The sequence below is a fragment of the Homo sapiens genome, chromosome 2 (assembly GCF_000001405.40).
Source record: "Homo sapiens chromosome 2, GRCh38.p14 Primary Assembly".
Lineage (NCBI taxonomy): Eukaryota > Metazoa > Chordata > Mammalia > Primates > Hominidae > Homo > Homo sapiens.
Window position 1 is genome coordinate 189,948,644 of NC_000002.12, and position 23,747 is coordinate 189,972,390.

Sequence of the window (23,747 nt, forward strand, 5' to 3'; positions counted from 1 at the left end):
CTTATGACTTTTTCTATTAGGGTCTTAATTTTTTAGCTTATTTTTAAGTGTTCTTTTATGTCAGACATACATAACATGTCAACATATATATAGCGTATACATAACAAAGTCCTGTGACACTTATTTGTGGTACTTTTTTCCTGTCATACAAATTTTCAATTTTTATTTAGTAAAATCATTTTTTTTTCTTATTTATATGTTTTGGTATTCAGCTTAGAAAGACCTTTCACCTCAAGATTATGTAGGTATTTAAACTTTTTTTTTTAAGTTCTTTTGTGATTTTTGTTTTGTTTTTCTAGTTCTTATGTGGTTTTATTTTACATTTAACTCTTAATCCTTTGCTAAACGCTTAAAGTACTTTGAAGGCCTAATCTAGGAAGTAGGAAAATACAGTTGTCCCTCAGTATTCACAATGAGGATTGGTTCCAGGGCATCCCCCACCTCCCAGCAGACAGCAAAATCTTTGCATACTCAAGTCCCACAATCCTGTGAAAACCAAGTATACAAAAAGCCGGCCCTCAGTATCTGCGGGTTTCACATCAGACAAATACCTCATTTTCCATCTGCCTTCAGTTGCAGATGCAGAACCCGTAGATGTGGAGTGCTGACTGTTTTTATTGAGAAAAAAAGCCGGGCGCGATGGCTCACACCTGTAATCCCAGCACTTTGGGAGGCCAAGGCGAGTGGATCACGAGGTCAGGAGTTCAAAACTAGCCTGACCAAGATGGTGAAACCTCATCTCTATTAGCCAGGCACAGTGGCGGGCACCTGTAATCCAAGCTACTCAGGAGGCTGAGGTTACAGTGAGCTGGGATCAGGCTACTGCACTCCAGCCTGGGTGACAGAGTCTCTGTCTCAAAAAAAGAAAAAAAAAAAGGAAAAAAGAAATCCAGATATAAGTGGATCTACACAGTTCAAATCTGTGTTATTCAAGGGTCAATTATGTATGCATAGGTAAACCCAATAGTTGTTACCTACTTTTTCTTTCTTTTTTTTTTTTTTTTTTTTTAGAGATGAGTCTCACTCTCACCAGGCTGGAGTGCAGTGGCACAATCTCGGCTCACTGCAACCTCCGCCTCCCGGGTTAAAGTGATTCTCCTGCCTCAGCCTCACGAGTAGCTGGGACTACAGGTGCATGCCACCATGCCCAACCAATTTTTGTACTTTTAGTAGAGATGGGGTTTCACCATGTTGTCCAGGATGGTGTCAATCTCTTGACCTCGTGATCTACCTGCCTCGACCTCCCAAAGTGCTGGGATTACAGACGTGAGCCACCACGCCTGGCCTGTTACCTACTTTTAAGTGTCCTGAAATGTAACTCTTCCAAGGTTTGAAAGTCTAAAGTTACAGAATCAATCATGTTATCTTAGTTTTTTGGTTTTGGGTTTTTTTTTTTTTTTTTGAGATGAAGTCTCGCTCTTGTCCCCAGGCTGGAGTGCAATGGCAAGATCTCAGCTCACTGCAACTTCCATCTCCCAGATTCAAGTGATTCTCCTGCCTCAGCATCCCAAGTAGCTGGGATTACAGGTGCCTGCCATGATGCCCGGCTAATTTTTGTATTTTTAGTAGAGATGGGGTTTCACCATGTTGGCCAGGCTGGTCTCGAACTCCTAACCTCAGATGATCCGCCTGCCTCAGCCTCCCAAAGTGCTGGGAGTACAGGCGTGAGCCATGGCGCCCAGCCTTTTTTGTTTTTTTTTTTTGTTTTTTTTTTTAAGGTTAGGTAATGAACCTTAGGTGCAGTAGTGAACATGGGAGCAAGAGAAGAATAAGGAGTTCAATCTGTTAACTGATTGTGAAGAGTCAATTAGGATTAGGATAAGTCTCTACCTTCAGACCAGGCTTATCTTAGTCTTTAGTGTCACCTTTGCTGAAAGTAAGAGAGGGGCTAATGGTAGAAAGCCTTCAGGGTCTGAAAAAGATTAAGGAAGACCACCAAAGAGCAACAATTTACATCTTAATTATTACTTTTAAAAGCTAGCCTTTGTTTATATTTTCTAAAGTCATCACACTACATAAACAAATATTCCAAGACATGTAGATATGAGAGATAAGTATATTGCCTATGTATATAAATACATAGAGTTCTCCTCTATTTTACATTACTTTTCTTCCCACTAATGACTTAAGTTCCCCCAAAGACTTTACATCTTGTCCTGCCATTGAGAAAAGGATTGAGATCTCAACTATTTCCTCCTGTTAACTAGGTCCCTTCTTGGTTTAGGGCTGCCCACTTACCAACCTTTGCCATTTGGCTCTCTATCCCTGTTATTAGAATAAATCCCTGGCTAGTGTACTGACTTAATTTTCAACTTTCTTTCATGCCTGGAGGGTTGGGGTGGGGGTAGTAGCAGAATATGGGGAATTTTTCTGGATCGTTTCTGCACTTTCCTGGAGATAAGGGAAGTTTTGGGGTTGGGTTTGGAGGTATTACCTCAGACCTCTTCCACCATTCTGTTGTGACAATCAAATCAGACTTCCTAGTACCAGTATTAGGTTTTTTCCCTCTACTTCAATAGAAGAAACCTTAGTTTAGTTCTCTGAATCCTCCTTTTTTTTTTTTTTTTTTTTTTTTTGAGACAGAGTCTTGCATCTTCCCCCAGGCTGGAGTGCAATGATGCGATCTTGGCTCACTGCAACCTCCACCTCCCAGGTTCAAGCAATACTCCTGCCTCAGCCTCCCAAGTAGCTGGGATTACAGGCATGTGCCAGCGCACCCGGCTAATTTTTGTATTTTTGGTAGAGACGGGGTTTCACCATGTTGGCCAGGGCTGGTCTCGAACTCCTGACACCAAGTAATCCGCCCACCTTGGCCTTCCAAAGTGCTGGGATTATAGATGTAAGCCACTGCGCCCAGCTGAATCTTCCTCTTCAGTATCTTTGTGGCACTGTTTTCTTCCCTTTCATCAGTTGGTAAATGCTTTAAGTACTTTGAAAGCCAAATCTAAAGCTTTCAAATAAGGAAGTAGAGGTATGGGTCAACACAATAGCCATTACCTATTTTCATTGTCCTAAAAATATTTCTTCACTCTTCCAATACCTAAAAGTCTAAAGTTAGAGAATCATTTAGCTCATCTTCGTTTTAGAATAGCATTTGCTGAAGGCAAGTATAGGAGATCAGAATATGCCACCCCAAAATATGTCACTCTGGCATAAGAATTATTTTGAGCTGAAGGCACTCGAGAAATAGCAAATGCAGGAAGAACTCTGTGACCTCTCAAATGTTCTTATCTAAAAGCAGGTTATAAAATTTCCCATGAGAAAAGTGTTCTTCCTGAACCAGGAATAGAAGAACATTCTTAACACTGGAGACTGGGAGTTACTGCCAAAAGAGAACTAAACAAACAAACTACACAAACTGAAAACAATCCTTATCTTCCACTGGTTTCCCCCATATATTTCCTGGTCACTGCCTCACAATGTACTGCCCCTAGCCTAATACCCTTTGTCTTGTATCCTCACAATTTATCATTCTTTGTTTTAAAAGGTATACACACTTTTGAGCCTAACTGCTTTTTCAGACATTCATTTTCCTTATGAGGGCTCCCATGCATGTAAAAATATTAAATAAAACTTGTATGCTTTTTCCCTGTTACTCTGTCTTATGTTAGTTTAATTCTCAGGCCCAGCCACAGAACCTAAGAGGGTAGAAGAAAGTTTTTCCTCCCCTATACAAGAAAGGGGCTTATTTCGTCTCCTGCCTTAAGCTGGTCAATGGTACTTCACACAGCTTGAGCTTCCAGTCTTCCAAACCAGACCTTTTTGGAACTGAAACAAAATCATATCATTTTTTTTTTCTCCTTGAATGAGTACCTAGATCTTAGAAATAGAAGTCATATTATGAAGATCTTATTTTGGAATTCTAAGCAAGAATTTAGCTCTTTTATTTTAGGTTTTATCTGTTCTCCTATATGAGAACAATATTTATAAATTAGGAGAAATGGTAAAAGAAAGTTAACAATGGGGAGTAAAAAGATCAACGTTTCAATATCTAAAAATATTCTGTTACAGTTGCTTTTATGATCATTTTGAAACAGGATACTTCTACTGCACTTACTGTGTGCAACTGTAGGAGAATTACATGTGACGTATCCTTTTAAGAACTTCTACTTATTTTTTGATCACATCTTCGATAACTTTGAATGTATAGTCTGAGGGTGTTTCCTTTTTATTTTGGCTATTTAATGAATTGGTTCTTATATAACTATAATGATCATGAATCTTCTTTGTAAATAAGTTACTTTCAGTTACACTCATTTAGGACTTGAAAATTGCAGACTGTAGTGATGGAAAGGGGGAAGTGAGAACTAGAGTTAAACAAAACAGAACAAGATTATGGTAATATCAACAGAAATTAAAAATAGGAGGTCAGGTGGCTTTTGTTATCTATGCCAGTTGTAGGGATTGTGTCTTTTCTTGCTGGTTTAGTAATTTTGGTGCCTATTGTTAAATGTGATAACATCCCTGGCCAGATTTTTGTTCAGGGCCCACTTACAAGTCTGCAATAGGGAAAGTGGGGACAGGCTGCATCTAAAAGGGCTTTACTCAAGGCCTTGTCCGTCGAGTTCACTAATATAATCCGAATATGTAGTAGAGTGGTTGGCATATAGGTGCTCAAATAATGATAATAATAAGATTAATAATAAAATCAGCTGACAGTTATATGATTCTTAGTACATATTGAGCACTGTTATAAGACTTTTAGATATAGGCCGGGCATGGTGGCTCACACCTGTAATCCCAGCACTTTGGGAGGCCAAGATGGGCAGATCACCTAGGTCAGGAGTTTGAGACCAGCCTGGCCAACATGGTGAAACCCTGTCTCTGCTGAAAATACAAAATTAGCCAGGCATGGTGGTGCATGCCTGTAATCCCAGCTACTCAGGAGGCTGAGGCAGGAGAATCTCTTGAACCTTGGAGGCGGAAGTTGCAGTGAGCCCAGATTGCACCATTGCACTCCAGCCTGGGTGACAAGAGTGAAACTCCATCTCAAAAAAAAAAAAAAAAAAAAAAAAACAAAGACTTTTAGATATATTGATTCATTCATTTCTCCCAACAATCTATGAGGTGATATTGTTAGTACAGTATCAATATCACCTCATTTTTACAGATGAGGAAATTGATGCACGTAAGTTAAGTGATTTTCCCAAGTTCTAATGGCTAACAGCTGGTAGAACCAAGATACAAACTTAAGCTGTCTGGCATTGGAGTCCACCTCTTAACCACTAAGCTGCATCTTTTGTTTGTTTATTGTTTATGATATTGATTGAATGAATGAATGAAGCCTGCAAGGGTATTGCCAACATGAAAACATTGTCAGAGAGAAAAGAAGTCAAGCTGATAGTTGAAAGAGATGAGGATGTATGTTGAGCCAGACAGGTCAAGTGAAGATGTAGTAGTAAAATGAACATCAAGGTTGGGGAATCCCTGTCAGTGGGAAGGCAAGAGAAGGAGAAAGAGAAGGAAAGAGATACAATCCAGATCAGGTATTTCTCAAAGAAACATTCCGCAAGTCTTTTTTCTTACCCTGTTGGTATAAACAAGTGGCACACCTACTTTATCAGATTATAAGAAAACAGCTATTTTCTCATAAGAAAATTGTTTAATGCATCCACATCCTTACACAATAGATTCTAAGTGGCATTATGATAAATTTGCATATGTACACACACTGTTTACTTAAATTTATGGTAACTATATTTTGCAAATGAAAAGATCAGAACATATGATAAGATCAGAACATATGATAAGATCAGAACATGTGATATGACCAAACTTCTTCTGGTTTGGTGACATGTTTATATAAGAAGTCTTACAAATACATACACATTAATATGCCTAGTGTTCCATTAATGGAATGCTAAGCATGTGGGAGTCATTTATATCCTACTGCTCAAGGTCATCACCAAGGTCTGACTGTAAAAATTCAAAAAATTGCAACCTCAGGCATAAATGGGTTAAATCACATTATGTTTGAATGTTATATATATTTAAAACTATGTTACAACTAACACATTTTTGCATCATTTTTATCATAAGTGACTAATTTTTTCCCAACATTTGTTGGCATATGTCAGAGTAATTTATTTGGAACACTGCAGTTTTATTGACCATCAGTGACTTTTCTGATATTCATTTATCAGCAAAAATGATCTCTGCATCCTTGCTCAGAATTAGACCAGGCAGTTGTACATTTTTGCATACTACTGATGTTTAAATTACCACAATATTTACATGCCCAATATCTTTGACCTCTAAAAAGTTTATCTTTAAACTATTCAGTTAGCAAATTCTTTTTTAAAAAAATATTTTTTATTTATGGACTTAGGGGTACAAGTACAGTGGTGTTACATGGATATATTGCATAGTGGTGAATGCTGGGCTTTTAGTGTACTCATCACCCAAATAGTGTACATTGTACTCCATAGGATCATGTTTCATCTGTACCTGCCTCCCACCCTCCCACCTTTTGGAGTCTCCAGTGTTCATTATTTACTCTGTATGTCTGCATGTACCCGTTGTTTAGCTTCCACTTATAAGTGAGAACATGTGGTTTTTAACTTCCTGAGTCATTTCACCAAGGATAATGGCCTCTAGTTGCATCTGTGTTTCTGTAAAAGACGTTCTTTCTTTCTTGTTTCGTATTTTGTTTTTGTTTTTTGTTTTTTTTGCTAGTATTCTATGGTATATATGTATACCATACTTTTAAAATCCAGTTATCCATTGATGGACACTTAACTTGATTCCACGACTTTGCTATTGTGAATAGGGCTGTGATAAACATACAAGTACAGATTTTTTTGATACAATGATGTCTTTTTCTTTGGGTAGGTACCCAGTAGTGGAATTGCTGGGTCAAATGGTAGCTGTATTTTTAGTTCTTTGAGAAATCTCCATACTGTTTTCCATAGAGGTTGTACTAATTTACATTTCCACCAGCAGTATATAAGTGTTTCTTTTCTCTGCATCCTCACCAATGTTTACTGTTTTTTGACTTTTTAATAACCGCCATTCTGACTGGTGTAAGATGATATTTTATTGTGGTTTTAATTTGCATTTCTCTGATGATTAGTGATATTGAGCGAGCAAATTCTTATTGGGATGTAATTTAAGAACACAAAATTTACCATAAACACCATCATGTGACAAAGTGGGAAGAGAAGTTTCAAAAAAGATTTGTATTTTTGCTAAGTCATCTCACTCAGGGTTGTTTAAAAACCAAATCCAATATAAATATCTTAAAAGTTAAGATAACTCAGAAAATTAACATAAAACTGATCTAAGTCACAGTGAATATTATTGTTTAGCCATTTGTTTTTTCTGGGTTTTTTTGCCTTCACCAAAAATTGTAAGTTTTATGTTCTAAATTTGGGTGTAAGAACAGATATTCGCATATGCTTCTCTATTTTGGAAATAACAGGATCCACAGTTTATTTAAAGATTATCAAAAAATATTTAAGAACAATGGGTCATTTTCAAATGATAATGCTCAAATCTTTGAACTTATTTTTACTAGTATATTTTCTTTTTTTTCTTTTTTTTTTGAGACGGAGTCTCGCTCTGTCGCCCAGGCTGGAGTGCAGTGGCGGGATCTCGGCTCACTGCAAGCTCCGCCTCCCGGGTTCACGCCATTCTCCTGCCTCAGCCTCCCAAGTAGCTGGGACTACAGGCGCCCGCCACTACGCCCGGCTAATTTTTTGTATTTTTAGTAGAGACGGGGTTTCACCGTTTTAGCCGGGATGGTCTCGATCTCCTGACCTCGTGATCCGCCCGCCTCGGCCTCCCAAAGTGCTGGGATTACAGGCGTGAGCCACCGCACCCGGCCTACTAGTATATTTTCAAGAGCACTTAGACTCCCAAATCTTATATACAAACATGAAAAAACTAGTGCTGCACTATAATAAAATCACAGATTTACATCATATACATATAAGAACATATTAATTTTTTTTTGAGATAGGGTCTCACTCTGTTGCCCAGGCTGGAGTGCAGTGGCACAATCATGGCTTACTGCAGCCTTGAACTTCTAGGCTCAAGCAATCCTCCTGCCTCAGCCTCCTGAGTAGCTAAGACTGCAGGCACACACAACCATGTCTGACTAATTAATTTTTTAATTTGTGGTAGAGATGGAGTCTCACTATGTGGTCCAGGCTGGTGGCAAACTCCTGACCTTAAGTGATCCTCCCATCTTGGCCTCCCAAAGTGCTGGGATCACAAGTGTGAGCTACCTCACCTGGCCAGTGTTAATATTTTTATGATAATTTCAATTCAGCTTGAAGAATATCAGACATGCTTTCAGTTATTAAATTTAATTCCGAGTTCAGGAGTTCAAGACCAGCCTGGCCAATATGGTAAAACCTTGTCTCTACTAAAAATACAAAAATTAACTGGGTATGGTGGCCTGCGCCTGTAGTCCCAGTGACTCAGGAGGCTGAGGAGGAGAGTTGCTTAAACCCAGGAGGTAGAGGTTGCAGTGAGCCGAGATCGCGCCACTGCACTCAGCCTGGGCAACAGAGGGGGACTCCATCTCAAATAAAATAAAATAAAATAAAAGTAATCCATGCTCACGATATAAGGTTCAGATGTTATAGAAAGTTTGGATGTGAGATGTTTAAACAAAATCTATTTTCTCTGACTCTTACTTCCGTTACATAGAAATTTTCTATGCTATACATATATATTCCTTTTGGTAGACAAATGACATCCGCTCCATTATTAACTTATATTTTGCAGATGTGTGCTTTGCAACCAATCCTCCCCCATATTTTATTACAGTTAAGACATAAGTTATAGAAAAGTTTTCAGAAATCTATGCCTTTTGTAGCTCTAAGATTTATCATTAGCAAACTAATTTATTAGTTAGTCAGCTTGCCACCAAAACCAGAGAAAACAGCCATTTAACTAGCCATTTGTCTCAACCACAATTTTTCATATGTAATTCTGTAGTTAAATAAGAAGATATTATTATATGATAGAAACCACTATGACAGTTTCCCAATTTCTATGATATAGCTTTTCTAGTTCCTATAGTAAGACTTTTTCAATTTTGATAACAGCTGTGAAAAATAGTTTTGAATAAGGAAAAGATGTTTGAGTAGCATACATTAAAATTAAGAACTCTCATTCATCAAAAGACAAAAAGAGTGAAAAGACAAGCTACTGTGAAAATATATTACATCTCACTCTGTCACCCAGGCTGGAATGCAGTGGTGCCATCTCAGCTTACTGCAACCTCCGCCTCCCAGGTTCAAGCAATTTTCCTGCCTTGGCCTCCCGAGTAGCAGGGACTACAGACGTGCACCACCACACCTGGCTAATTTTTGTATTTTCAGTAGAGACGGGGTTTCACCATGTTGGCCAGGCTGGTCTCGAACTCCTGACCTCAGGTAATCCACTCGCCTCAGCCTCCCAAAGTGGTGGGATTACAGGTGTGAGCCATTGCGCCAAGATATTTGCAACATGTAATTGACAAAGATATTTGCTACGTATAATTGACAAAGGATTAGTGTCTTGAACATATAAAAAATTCTTACCTATAAGTTAGTAAGAAGATGAGCAACACCATAAGGAACTGGGCAAGAGATTTGAAAAGCACTTCGCAAGTGGTTACTGATAATGGCCCATAAACAGTCTAAAAAATACTCAACCTCACTGTAATCAGAGAAGTGCATATTAAAACTACAAGTAAACTTAGCTGCTTGGCTTAAATTTAAAATTCTGAGAATATCAAACATTGACAGGAATATGGAGCAATTGGAACACATATACTGCTGATGAGCGTATAAATTGGTAAAAAGCACATTAGAAAATAATTTGACATAAATAATATAGTAATATTTAATTAAGTAATATTTAATTAAATATATATACACACATAACATATATATATATATATATATAACATTGAAGATCCCAACATTCCACATCTAAATGTGTGTGTGTATATACACAGACACACACACACATCCATTAGAACCTCTTGCATATGTGCACCAGGACAGTTGTGCAAAATGGTTGTAGTAGCACTGGGTAATATAAAGAACCGAAAAAAAAACCTCCAAATGTTCATCAACAGTAAAATGTATAAATATATTGTGATACCTTTATATAATGGAATGCTACATAGCAATAAAATGCATGAATTACAGCTGCATGAAAGAACTTGAATGAATCTCAGCAGTACCATGTTGAACAAAATAAAAGTAAATGAATACTTAAAGCATTATTTAATTAATACAAATTTCAGAATGTTCAAAAGTAAACATAAGTTGAGCTGCAACTGTATGTGGTACAGTTTTTCTTTAGTACCCTAAAGAAAAGCAAGAAAATAAAATACACAAAAGTGAGGAAAGTGGTGACCGCTAAGGGACAGAGGTGAAAGAAAGAAGCTCAGGAAGGGGTACACAGGACTTCAATTGTGATGTTATTTTTTTTCTTAAACTGGGTGATGGAATATAAATATTCATTTTTTGTTATTCATATGTTATATACTTTATAAATATTCTTTCCTGCCTACTCAACATTTAATAAAAATTATAAAAATAATTATATGAAACAAATTTAAATTTAACTTTCTAATATAATCAAAAAACCTGAAAATGATTATCTTGTAAAATTATACATGCTTTCCCTTCCTTAGGGATAGTAGCTACATTTCCTAGAAATAATGCTGTAAAAATGAGTTAGATAACCAACTGCTATTTCAGAAAGATGTGGTTACTTCCTTCATTAGAAATATTCCAAATAATTAGACTTTATTTAACAGATCAATTTATTCTTTGCCATAATTCTTAAATGTACACTGATTTTTTTTCAGAATTATAGTGGTATTTATACATTTCTCATTAGCAGTCCTAAGCATGCTTTAAATCATTAAGAAAATATTTAGAAATTGCCATTCCCAAATACTGATATTTTTCAAAAGTAAGTGCTACTATTGATACATTACTAGATTTTGCTGAGTAAAGCTCTTTCTACACACAAACATGTTGGCCACCTGCAACTGTTTGTCAGTGGACTTGGTTTGAGAACACTAGTAGTAATTGTAAACTTAGGAATGTGTGACAAGCTAACAGCCAGCTGTGCATATCCTGACTTTTCCCAGGTGTTAAAATAAATATGACCATTTGGTTCACTTGTAACTCAACAAAATATTTCATGATTCATTAGCTTGAAAATCCACTTACAGTTTTTTGAGTAGGTAATGTTATATTCATTTGAAATGAAAAACATATACCCAGAAATATTTGTGGTATTATTACTTATAATATTAAATGGTCTTTTCATAAAATGAAAATAATGTAACATTTATGTAGGTTTTTTTCATATTCTTTGTATAGGGAAACACCAGTGAGCCACTTCTGCCTATAGGCATCAAAAAGAATGAAAATGTGTTTCATATTCAATTAGAGTTCAACTTGCCTTGGCAGAACTGAGTTCCAAACTGATCTTACATTAATTACTATCTTTGTTACATATCACGTGTTTGATCATTATCTGATAACAATTATTATTGATTGAACACCGGCTGTTAGGTTGTTAGCTCAAGAGACCCAGATGCCTAAATCTTTCCTTGACTAAACTACCCATCCTTATAAGGTTTCTGAGGGAGAATATACATACAAAAGACAACTGCAACTGGGAAATACAAATCCATTTTACTATTAAATTATCATTGATCTGAAACTCCAAAGCTAGGGTTCCCAGATAAACTGGAGTGAAATACGTGGCTTAGGCAGCTCCTCCCCTCTTCTCCAAATTAATGAACTGAAGAACAGCAAAGAGGATGTAGTGAGCTGAAAGAGAGAAATGAGCTAATAGAGCTCCCTTGCCTCTGCCCCCTTCTATTACACACTTTTATTTCTTATCTTTTAACACAGTGATTACTAGGACCCAAGCTTATGATAAAGCAAGAGTGACTCTACCCCTTGAAAGAGAAGATTCATTCTGGCTTTTCTCAGATAAGAGGATAAGTTATCATAACTGGTCAGATTTCTGGCCCTAATTAAGCTTCTTTAATTTGTGGCAGAGACACACTGTATTTTTTTTTTAAAGATGTACACAGATGCAGCCTGCTTTCTTTCTCTTGAGTGAGATCTGCCATGTGGCTAACCAGAGGATAGTAAGGTCAGGGGAGTAAGGTCCCTGACCCCACCTTTGTGTACTTAACTCCCTTGTTAGTTACCACTGCTTTTTATAAAAGTATACTGGGCCTACAGAGATTCCTTTCTTGGAATCAATTAAAAGAGACTATTGGTTAACTCTGACTCCAGACTAGAAACAAAATGTATGCCCATTCTACTTTCCATTCCAAATATTGCCCAGCTTCACACTCTAGCCTATACCAGATTTTAGAAGTTGGCACTAGGGTTTTGCCCAGTCTTTGAGCAGTATTGTCTTTGATCAATATTTAGAAGTGCATAAATTCTGCCTCATTAGGTTTCAGGGGCAGTATAACATATAAGACAAGTGCGAGAAACAAAGTGGATTCCTTCTACTCCTTTTAATCAGGTCTTCATACCAGTTCCAGCCTTATAGAAGAGAAGGGAGGAACCCACACCCGTGTTCTTTGCACACATACATACCCCAATATAGAATCAGATTAATGTTTATTCCCTGGGAAGTGGGTGGAGAGGGCCAGGAGAAGGTGGAGGGAGCTCAGATATGGTCTCTACCCAAAAGACTAACTCAGTTATGCCAGACACTGCCAAATACACTGGCTTCACAGCATAGGAGTGCACTTATACTAGTTTATTGGTCTCAGAAATATACTTCAAATAAGACTGCCTTTACCATACAGAGAACAGTTTTTATTTTTTTAATACTAAAAGATACACCATTCCTGTTTCTGGGAAAAATCATATATAAATCTTATATAAAGCTCTTTAAAACATATATTTTATAGGTCAAAATTATGGTTTAATTTACCTCATAAGTCCCAGGTTCTTGACATTTTAAGGTGCTTTGTGACCTTAAAGTATCAGACTCGGCTGGGCATGGTGGCTCACACCTGTAATCCCAGCACTTTGGGAGGCTGAGGTGGGTGGATCATGAGGTAAGGAGTTCAAGACCAGCCTGGCCAACATAGTAGAAACCCTGTCTCTACTCAAAATACAAAAATTAGCCAGGCATGGTGGAGCACACCTGTAGCCCCAGCTACTCGGGAGGCTGAGGCAGGAGAATCACTTGAACCTGGGAGGTGGAGGTTGCAGTGAGCCCAGATCACACCACTGCACTCTAGCCTGGGTGACAGAGCGAGACTCTGTCTCAAAAAAAAAAAAAAGTATCAGACTCACCGAGGGTATATTTAAAACCACTTTGAAATTCAATGTATTTTCATACAAATGAATGGCCATTATTCTTGTTACAGAGAATTTTATCAATCTAATGGAAACTGTGAAAACCATATTAAAATACAGTCATGTGACACATAATGCTGTTTCAGTCAACAATGAACAGCATATATAATAGAGGTTCCATAAGATTATAATACATATTTTTACATATTTTTAAATATTGAGATATTTTTAGATACATAAATACTTACCATTGTGTTATAACTGCCTACAGTATTAAGTACAGTAACACACTGCACAGGTTTTTAGTCTGGGAGGAATAGGCTCTCTCATATAATGTAGGCATGCAGCTTATACCATCTAGGTTTGCGTAAGTATACTCTATGATGTTTGCCCAAAGATGCAATCCCCTGATGATATATTTCTCAGGATGTATCCCTGTCATTAAGTGACACATGGCTATATATGAATATGTTACTGTTAGAAACACTAAAGGCTAGAATTAATGATTATCTTCATTTTCAATATCATGATAAAGGAAGAAATGTAAAAAATATTGGAAAAGAAAAAACAAGAACTATTACTAACAGATAACGTGAGTTCTCCTAAACAAAAAATAATCAATTGAAAAACTTTTAGATCTGACCAAATCTAAGATAAATATATACCTTACACTATTAACAGTGGTTACCTCTGGGCAGAGAAGAGAGATGTTGGGTTGGGGGATAAAGGCTGACAATTACTTTTTAATCACTGTATTTTGATATTGTTTGAACTTTTACCATGAGGATGTATTTGTAATATTAAAAACTAAACTAGGTTAACTCTTTACATAACATTTATTTTTAAAATTTTAGCAAAGCACTATGTAAGATGCTTCACTTTGTGTATTGGATATTTTTTATAACTGGGACCCATTATAATACATATATATTACATTTATATGTATATATAATACAATATAGAAGAAATCACATTTTACATTATTTTGGATGCTGTTTGATAGCATTTTACCTGTAGTAAAACTTCTTTCAAAATTGGAGTCAATCTTCTCAAGCCCTGTTACTACTTTATCAACTAAGTTTATGGACTATTCTAAATCCTTTGTTGTCATTTTAGCAATGTTCATAGCATCTTCACCAGAAGTAGATTCCATTTCAAGTACCCACTTTTTTGCTCATCCATAAGAAGCAAGTCTCACCTGTTCAAGTTTTCTCATGAGATTGCAGCAATTCAATCACATCTTCGGGCTTCACTTCTCTTTTTTTTTTTTGAGATGGAGTCTCACTCTGTTGCCCAGGCTGGAGTGCAGTGGCCGCGATCTCCACTCACTGCAAGCTTCACCTCCCAGGTTCACACCATTCTCCTGCCTCAGCCTCCCGAGTAGCTGGGACTACAGGCGCCCACCACCACACCTGGCTAATTTTTTTGTATTTTTAGTAGAGACAGGGTTTCACCTCGTCAGCCAGGATGGTCTCGATCTCCTGACCTCGTGATCTGCCTGCCTCGGCCTCCCAAAATGCTGGGATCACAGGCATGAGCCACCGCGCCCGGCCCAGGCTTCACTTCTAATTGCTATTGCTACTTCTCTTGCTGTTTCCACCATATCTGCAGTTACTTCCTCCACTGACATCTTGAACATCTCAAAGTCAGCCATGAGGGTTGGAATCAACTTCTTCAAACTCCTGTGAATGTTGAGAGTTTGATTTCCTCCCATGAATCACAAATGTTCTTAATGGCATCTAGAATAGGAGGTTGTCAGTTTACTTTGCCCAGGTCCATCAGATAAATCATTATCTATGGCAGCTATAGCCTTCTATAATATATTTCTTTTTTTTTTTTTGAGATAGGGTCTTGCTCTGTCACCCAGCCTAGAGTGCAGTGGTGCGATCACAGCTCACTGCAGCCTCGACCTCCCAGGATCAAACAATTTTCCCACCTCAGCCTCCTGAGTAGCTGGGACTACAGGTGCATGCCACCACACCCAGTTAATTTTTGTATTTTTTCTACAGACAGGCTTTTGCCATGTTGGTCTCAAACTCCCAGGCTCAAGCCATCCACCACCTTGGCCTCTCAAAGTACTGGGACTGCAGGCATGAGCCACCAAAGCTGGCTTTAAAATGTGTATTTCTTAAATAATAAGACTTGAAAGTCAGAATTCCTTCTTAATCCATGGGCTACAGAATGGATGTTGTATTAATGGGCATGAAAGCAACATTAAGTGCCTTGTACATCTCCATCAGAGCTCTTTTTTGGGTGATGAGGTGCATTGTCAATGAGCAGTAGTATTTTGAAGGAAGTCTTTTTTTCCTAATAGGTCTCAACAGTGGGCTTAAAATATTCAGTAACCCATGCTCTAAACAGATGTACTGTTATCAAGGCTTTGTTGTTCCATTTATAGAGCACAGGGTAGATTTAGCATAATTCTTACAGGCCCTAGGATTTCAGAATGGTAAACGAGCATTGGCTTCAACTTAAATCACCAGCTGCATTAGCCCTTAAAAAGAGAGTCAGCCTATCCTTGAAAGCCTTGTTTCCAAGCACTGACTTCGCTTCTATAGCTTTAAAAGTCCTAGATGGCATCTTCTTCCAATAGAAGTATTTTTTGTTGATATTGAAAATCTGTTGTTTAGTGTAGCCACCTTCATCAATGATCTTAGCTAGATCTTCTGGATAACTTGTAGCTTCTACATCAGCACTAGCTGCTTCACCTTGTACTTTTATGTTATGGATATGGCTTCCTTTAAAAAAAATATGAACCAACCTATGTTAGTCTCAAACATTTCTCCTGGAGCTTCTTTATCTCTCTCAACTTTCACAGAATTTAAGAGAGTTAGGGCATTTCTCTGGATTAGGCTTTGGCATAAGGGAATGTTGTGGCTGGTTTGATCTTCTATCCAGACAACTCAAACTTCCTCCTTACTGCAATAAGGCTGAATCACTTATTATTTTTTATGTTCACAGAAGTAGCACTTTTAATTTCCTTCAAGAACTTTTCCTTTGCATTCACAACTTGGCTAACTGTTTGCCATAAGGGGCCTAGCTTTTGGCCTGTCTTGGCTTTAGACCTGCCTTGTTTACTAAACTTAATCATTTCTAGCTTTTGATTTAAAGTGAGAGACATGCAACTCTTCCTTTCACTTGAACAGTTAAAGGCCATTGTAGGGTTCTAAATTGGCCTAATATCAATATTGTTGCATCTTAGGGTATAGGGAAGCCCAAGGAGGAGAGAGACAGGGAATGGCCAGTTGGTGGAACAGTCAGAACACACACAATATTTATTAATTAAGTTTGCCGTCTTATATGGGCCCAAGTTGTAGCATCCCAAAACAATTACAAAAGTAACCTCAAAGATCATTGATTACATATCTCCATAAGACATATAATAATAATGAAAAAGATTGAAATACTTAGAGAATTACTAAAATGTGATGTACAGTCAAAGTGAGCACAGCTATTAGAAAAATGGTGCCAATATCCAGAATCTACAAGGAACTCAAACAAATTAGCAAGAAAAAAACCAACAGTCCCATCAAAAAATGGACCAAGTACATGAATAGAAAATTCTCAAAAGAAAGTGTACAAATGGCCAACAAACATACAAAAAAATCCTCAACAGCATGAATGATCAGGGAAATGCAAATCAAAACCACAGTGTGATACCACCTTACTCCTGCAACAGTGGCCACAATAAAAAAATAAAAAAAAAAATAGATGTTGGTGTGGATGTGGTGAAAAGTGAACACTTCTACACTGCTGGTGGGAATGTAAACTGGTACAACCACTATGGAAAACAGTGTGGAGATTCCTTAAAGAACTAAAAGTAGAACTATAATTTGATCCAGCAATCCCACTACTAGGTATCTACCCAGAGGAAAAGAAGTCATACAAAAAAGATACTTGAACACACATGTTTATAGAAGCACACTTTGCAATTGCAAAAATGTGGAATCAGCCCAAATGCCCATCAATCAATGAGTGATAAAGAAATTGTGGTATATATGTATGTATGTATGTGTGTGTGTGTGTGTGTATGTGTATATATATATGATGGTATACTACTCAGCCATAAAAAGGAATGAATTAATGGCATTTGCAGCAACCTGGATGGGATTGGAGACTATTATTCTAAGTGAAGTAACTCAGGAATGGAAAACCAAATATTGTATGTTCTTACTCATACGTGGGAGCCGAGCTGTGAGTATGCAAAGACATAAGAATGATACAATGGACTTTGGGTACCTGGGGGGGAAAGGGTGAGAAGGGGGTGAGGGAAAAAAGACTACAAATTGGGTTCCGTGTGTACTACTCAGGTGATGGGTGCACCAAAATTTCACAAATCACTAAATAACCTACCCATGTAAACAAATACCACCTGTTCCCCCAAAACCTATGGAAATAAAAAAAGACAATTAGTGCCGATAGACTTGCTCGATGCAGGTTTGCAATAAACCTTCAATTTGTAAAAAATGCAATACCTTCAAAGGACAATAAAGCAAACTACAAAAAATGAGATATGCCTGAATATAATATTTTGAAATGACACAATTTTAGAAATGAAGAACAGATTAGTGGTCACCAGGAGTTTGGGATGGGAAGAGGAGGCAAGAGGAAGGTGGGAGTTGTTATAAAAGGATAACATGTCTTCTTGTAAAGCAACTGTTCTGTAACCTGATTCTGGTGGCGGTTAGACAAACTTACACATCTGATAAAGAAACTAAATACATACACAAATAAGTAAACCTGGGGAAATCTGAATAAGATTAGTAGATTGTATCAATGTCAATATGGTATGCTGGTTTTGATATTGTGCCATGATTTTGCAAGACAGTTCCACTATTAGTGGAACGTGCATAGAGATATATATTACTTCTTACAATTTTATGTGAATCTATAATTATCTCAATACAAATTTCAATTAAAAGGATAGCCAAGAAGTTAAGAAAAACCAATGCACAGACTCAGGTAGCTCAGCTAATCCCTAAGTGAAATAGTAAAGAAAACCTGCAACTAGAATGGTAAGACAGCTAAGTATTCATTCATTAAATTGCAATTTCCCTTTCTGCATAGTAATAGAAGTACCGATACATGGCTTCTCAAATACTCTACATTCTTCATTCTTCCTTATGGGTAAGTGTGACTTTGTACATAATTTCTTACCATTATAATGCTTTCAGCTGGGACCTTGTTTATTTATAAGCTATCTCCATTTTCCTTCCTCCTCCTATAAACCAAAGCAAGAATATGCCTGTGACCTGGTTTTCACCGTGGGTGGCAGAGAAACAAGATAGAAGAAACCTGGGTTCCTGGATAGCAATGTGGACCATAGCCACCTATCAACCTGGAATAGGGAACCTAGGTTGTCATTTTGAACTATTGTATTTTTAGCTTTCCTTGTTGTATATCTACAGTTTCCCTGAACTTGTACACCTAGACACATCAGGGTGTAACTTCAAAACCAAAAAGAAAAGGAAACTGCTAAAGGAGCTATGTTTTTCTGTCAACACAGACTTTGGAATGATATTTTTAATGAGCTAAAATAAAATCACCACAAACCTAAAATTCTACACCTGATGAAAAGATTCTTCAAAAACAAGGGTGAAATAAAACTATCGGACTAAAATAGAGATTATTATGAGAGAATGTCACCAAAAGAAATTCTCACAGATATACTTCATTTAGAAGCAAAATGATCCTATATAAAAGATTTGAGATGCAAAAAGAAAGCAGCTGTGCACAGTGGTGCACACCTGTAGTCCCAGCTACTTGGGAGGCTGAGGCAAGAGGATCACTTGAGCCCAGGTGTTCAATGGTATAGTGCACTATAATCACACCTGTGAATAGCCATTGCACTCCAGTCTGGGCAACATAATGAGACCCCATCTCTAAAAAAAATAAAAATAAAAATTTGAAATTAAAAAAAAAAAAGGAACATTGTCTAAAGTCATAATAAAGTTAAATGGTGAAAAAAGATACAGTTAAAATATTGGAGAGCAATAGCATATAAGTTGGAGGAAGCAAATGTTCTGTGTAATTCAGGAAAAAAAATTTTGATTAACATAAAGTGTTGATAAATTTGCACGTTGTGTGGAATATCACAGTTACCGCCAGAAGAATAAGGAACAGTGTGTTGTAAGTTGAGAGAGAAAAACAGAATGATCAAAAGTACTTAATTCAAAGGTAGATAAAAAAGGAAAGAAAGAAATATAGAAGAAGTGGGACAAATATCAAAGTGATAGATATAATTTCTGAGTTATAATAAGTGTGAACAGATTAAATGATATAGTTAAATATTCTATATTTATTTACTTATTGTAGAGACAGGGTCTTGTCCTGTTGCCCAGGCTGGAGTGCAGTGGCCTGATCATAGCTCTCTTTAGCCTCAAATTCCTGGACTCAGGCAATCCTCTTGCCTCAGTCTCTGGTGTAGCTAGGACTACAGGCAAGTACGACTATGCCTGGCTAAATTTTAAAATTGTTTTGTAGAGATGGCATCTCACTATATTGCCCAGGCTGGTCTTCACCTCGTGGCCTCAAGTGATTCTCCTGCCTTGGCCTCCAAGAACACTGGAATTATAGACATGAGCCAGTGCGCCTGGGCTAAATGCTGTAGTTACATATTTTTTACTGTACTTAAGCAACAAAGATTGTCTGGGATAAACAAAACATAGCTATGCACTACATACAATAAGCACATCTAAAATAAAAGGGTGCAGAAAGGTTGAGAGTAGAAGAATGAAAAAAGAAAAATTTTGCAAATACAAAGGCCCCCTTCATAAGCCCCCACTCCAAAATGTTTAAGACAAGAGCATTACTAGGATTGGAAGGTTTCTATCTAATTTTTAAAATTTCACTTCACCAGGAAGAGTAAGTTTCTTTTATATACTCTAATCAAGAAAGTTTTTTATAAAAATAGATATTTGTTTATTATACAAATAATACAAATTTATCATACAAATAATATTTCCTATAGTATAATACATATTATAGAAAAAATTAGAAAATACTAATATCTAAATAGGAATTCTTTTTCTGTTATCCAAATACCTGCAGAGTCAAATAGTATGAATATACTTAAGGCTTTCAAAACATATAGCACATGTATCATATACAAATATTTACTGTATAGGCAAATATACCATAAAAGCAGTACCAATTTGCCTTTTTACTTTCTTGCCCAGATCCAACTATGATCTAAGTGTTTTTTTCCCCAAAATCATATGTTGAAACATGTCAGCCCAAGGTGATAGTATTAAGAGTAGGTCCTTTGGGAGGTGATCAGGTCATGAGGGTGGAGCCTCATGGGGTCCCAGAGAGCTGCCTTGAGCCTTTCATCATGAGTTTATAGTGAGATGACTGCCTCTATGAAGGAAGCAAGCTCTCACCAGACGCTGAATCTGCTGGCACCTTGACCTTGGAATTCTCAGCCTCAAGAACTGTGAGAAATGTTTGTTGTTTGTGAACTATCTGGTTTATGTTATTTTGGTATCACAGCTTGAACAGACTAAGACACACCCACTCTACCATTACTAAAAATGATAAAATTTCTTGGGAGGCTGAGGCGGGTGGATCACGAGGCCAGGAGTTCACGACTAGCCTGGCCAAGATGGTGAAACCCCGTCTCTACTAAAAAATACAAAAGTTAGCAAGGCATGATGGCGGGCACCTGTGATCCCAGCTACTGGGGAGGCTGAGGGAGAAAGTTGCTTGAACCCAGGAGGCAGAGGTTGTGGTGAGCCAAGATCGCACCACTGCACTCCAGACTGGGCGACAGAGCAAGACTCCATCTCAAAAAAAAAAAAAAAAAAAAAGATAAAATTTCATTGAATTAATGTTATAAACATTTTGACCTAAGTTTTAGAATTATAGGTCCTTCCTTCCTCTTCTCTTCTCTTTTTCTCTTTCTTCTCTTTTTCACTTTCTTCTTCTTCTTTTTTTTTTTTTTTTTTTTGAGACAGGGTCTCACTCTGGTTGCCCAAGCTGGAGTGCAGTGGCACAATCTCAGCTCACTGCAGCCTCAATCTCCCAGGCTCAGGTGATTCTCCTACTTCAGCCTCCCAAGTAGCTAGGACTACAGGTGTGCATACACGGCTAATTTTTTGTACTTTTTATAGAGATGGGGTTTCACCATGTTCCCAGGCTGCTCTTGAACTCCTGGACTCAAGAGATCCACTTGCCTTGGCCTCCCAAAGTGCTGAGATTACAGGCATGAGCCACTGAGCCCAGCCATCAAGATACTCATTTCTATAGACATATGTAGTATATGTAGCATATGTCTATAGAAATATGCTATATGTCTAGCATATAACACAATGAATACCTATATATTCCCTCACCCAGCTAAGACATAAAACATTGCTAATGTTGAAACTCTGTGTAATTTTCCTGGATTATATTCCCTTTCAATCACTTCTCTAGGAGTTACCATTATATTTTATTTGATATTTATCATTCCCATATTTTTAGAATACTTTTATTAGTTATTTATCTCTTAGCAAATGATATTATTTTGCAAGTTTTTAAACTTAAGGTAAATGGCATCACAATGTATGTATTCTTCCACAGCTTGCCTTTTTTCATCAATACTGTGTTCGAGATATATATATATTAAAATGCATAACCCTATTTCATTCATTTTTACTACTGAGTAATAGTCCATGGTAATTTCATAATCTGTTTTTCTGTTGATAGCAATTTAGCTTATCAAGAACACTGCTATGTTAAACAATAATTCTATCAATATTTTTCCACAAATCTCCTAGGCAAGAGTATCTTTTGGTTAATGAGTGGAAATACTGGTCACAGGCTGTACGTATTTTCATAGAATGTTGCCACAGTATTTGTAGCAATTTCCATTCATCAGCATATAAAAGTTTATTTCTATACATCCTCACTAATACTTAGTATCGTCAGACATTTACAAATTTGTCATTTTGGCAGGCATAAAACAATATCGCCCTATGGCTGTAATTTGCATTTTTTGATTACTTATGAGGTTGATCATCTTTTTACTTGTTTATTGACCATTTGTTTTTCTTTTTTATTCTCTTTTTTTATTATTATACTTTAAGTTCTAGGGTACATGTGCACAATGTGCAGGTTTGTTACATATGTATACGTGTGCCTTGTTGGTGTGCTGCACCCATTAACTCATCATTTACATTAGGTATTTCTCCTAATGCTATCCCTCCCCACTCCCCCAACCCCACGACAGGCCCCAGTGTGTGATGTTCCCTGCCCTGTATCCAAGTGTTCTCATTGTTCAATTCCCACCTATGAGTGAGAACATGTGGTGTTTGGTTTTTTGTCCTTGCGATAGTTTGCTGAGAATGATGGTTTCCAGCTTCATCCATGTCCCTACAAAGTACATGAACTCATCCTTTTTTATGGATGCATAGTATTTCATGGTGTATATGTGCCACATTTTCTTAATCCAGTCTATCATTGATGGACATTTGGGTTGGTTCCAAGTCTTTGCTATTGTGAATAATGCTGCAATGAACACATGCGTGCATGTGTCTTTATAGCAGCGTGATTTATAATCCTTTGGGTATATACCCAGTAATGGAATGGCTGGGTCAAATGGTATTTCTAGTTCTAGATCCCTAAGAAATCGCCACACTGTCTTCCACAATGGTTGAACTAGTTTACAGTCCCACCAACAGTGTAAAAGTGTTCCTATTTCTCCACATCCTCTCCAGCACCTGTTGTTTCCTGACTTTTTAATGATCGTCATTCTAACTGGTGTGAGATGGTATCTCATTGCGGTTTTGATTTGCATTTCTCTGATGGCCAGTGATGAGCATTTTTTATTGTGACTTTTGGCTGCATAAATGTCTTCTTTTGAGAAGTGTCTGTTCATATCCTTCACCCACTTTTTGATGGGGTTGTTTGATTTTTTTTTTGTAAATTTGTTTGAGTTCTTTGTAGATTCTGGATATTAGCCCTTTGTCAGATCAGTAGATTGCAAAAATTTTCTCCCATTCTGTAGGTTGCCTGTTCACTCTGATGGTAGTTTCTTTTGCTGTGCAGAAGCTCTTTAGTTTAATTAGATCCCATTTGTCAATTTTGGCTTTTGTTGCCATTGCTTTTGGTGTTTTGACATGAAGTCCTTGCCCATTCCTATGTCCTGAATAGTATTGCCTAGGTTTTCTTCTAGGGTTTTTATGGTTTTATGTCTAACATTTAAGTCTTTAATCCATCTTGAATTAATTTTTGTATAAGGTGTAAAGAAGGGATCCAGTTTCAGCTTTCTACATATGGCTAGCCAGTTTTCCCAGCACCATTTATTAAATAGGGAATCCTTTCCCCTTTTCTTGTTTTTGTCAGGTTTGTCAAAGATCAGATGGTTGTAGATGTGTGGTATTATTTCTGAGGGTTCTGTTCGGTTCCATTGATCTATATCTCTGTTTTGGTACCAGTACCATGCTGTTTTGATTGCTGTAGTCTTGT

The 23,747-nt window shown here is 37.2% G+C and overlaps 1 protein-coding gene across 2 annotated transcripts in view, besides 1 other annotated feature; it reads left to right on the plus strand.

Annotated features, from left to right (window-relative positions):
• AKAP19 (A-kinase anchoring protein 19) overlaps nt 1-23,747 on the plus strand; it is a 323,923-nt gene that overhangs the window by 69,082 nt on the left and 231,094 nt on the right. The gene's annotated exons all lie outside the window — the stretch shown is intronic.
• Nucleotides 4,507-4,576: an enhancer, noted in NCBI's record as "active region_16858". NCBI's record gives its function as "activates an Ori minimal core promoter by ATAC-STARR-seq in GM12878 lymphoblastoid cells {active_cell/tissue: GM12878}" and the evidence as "EXISTENCE:reporter gene assay evidence [ECO:0000049][PMID:35858748]".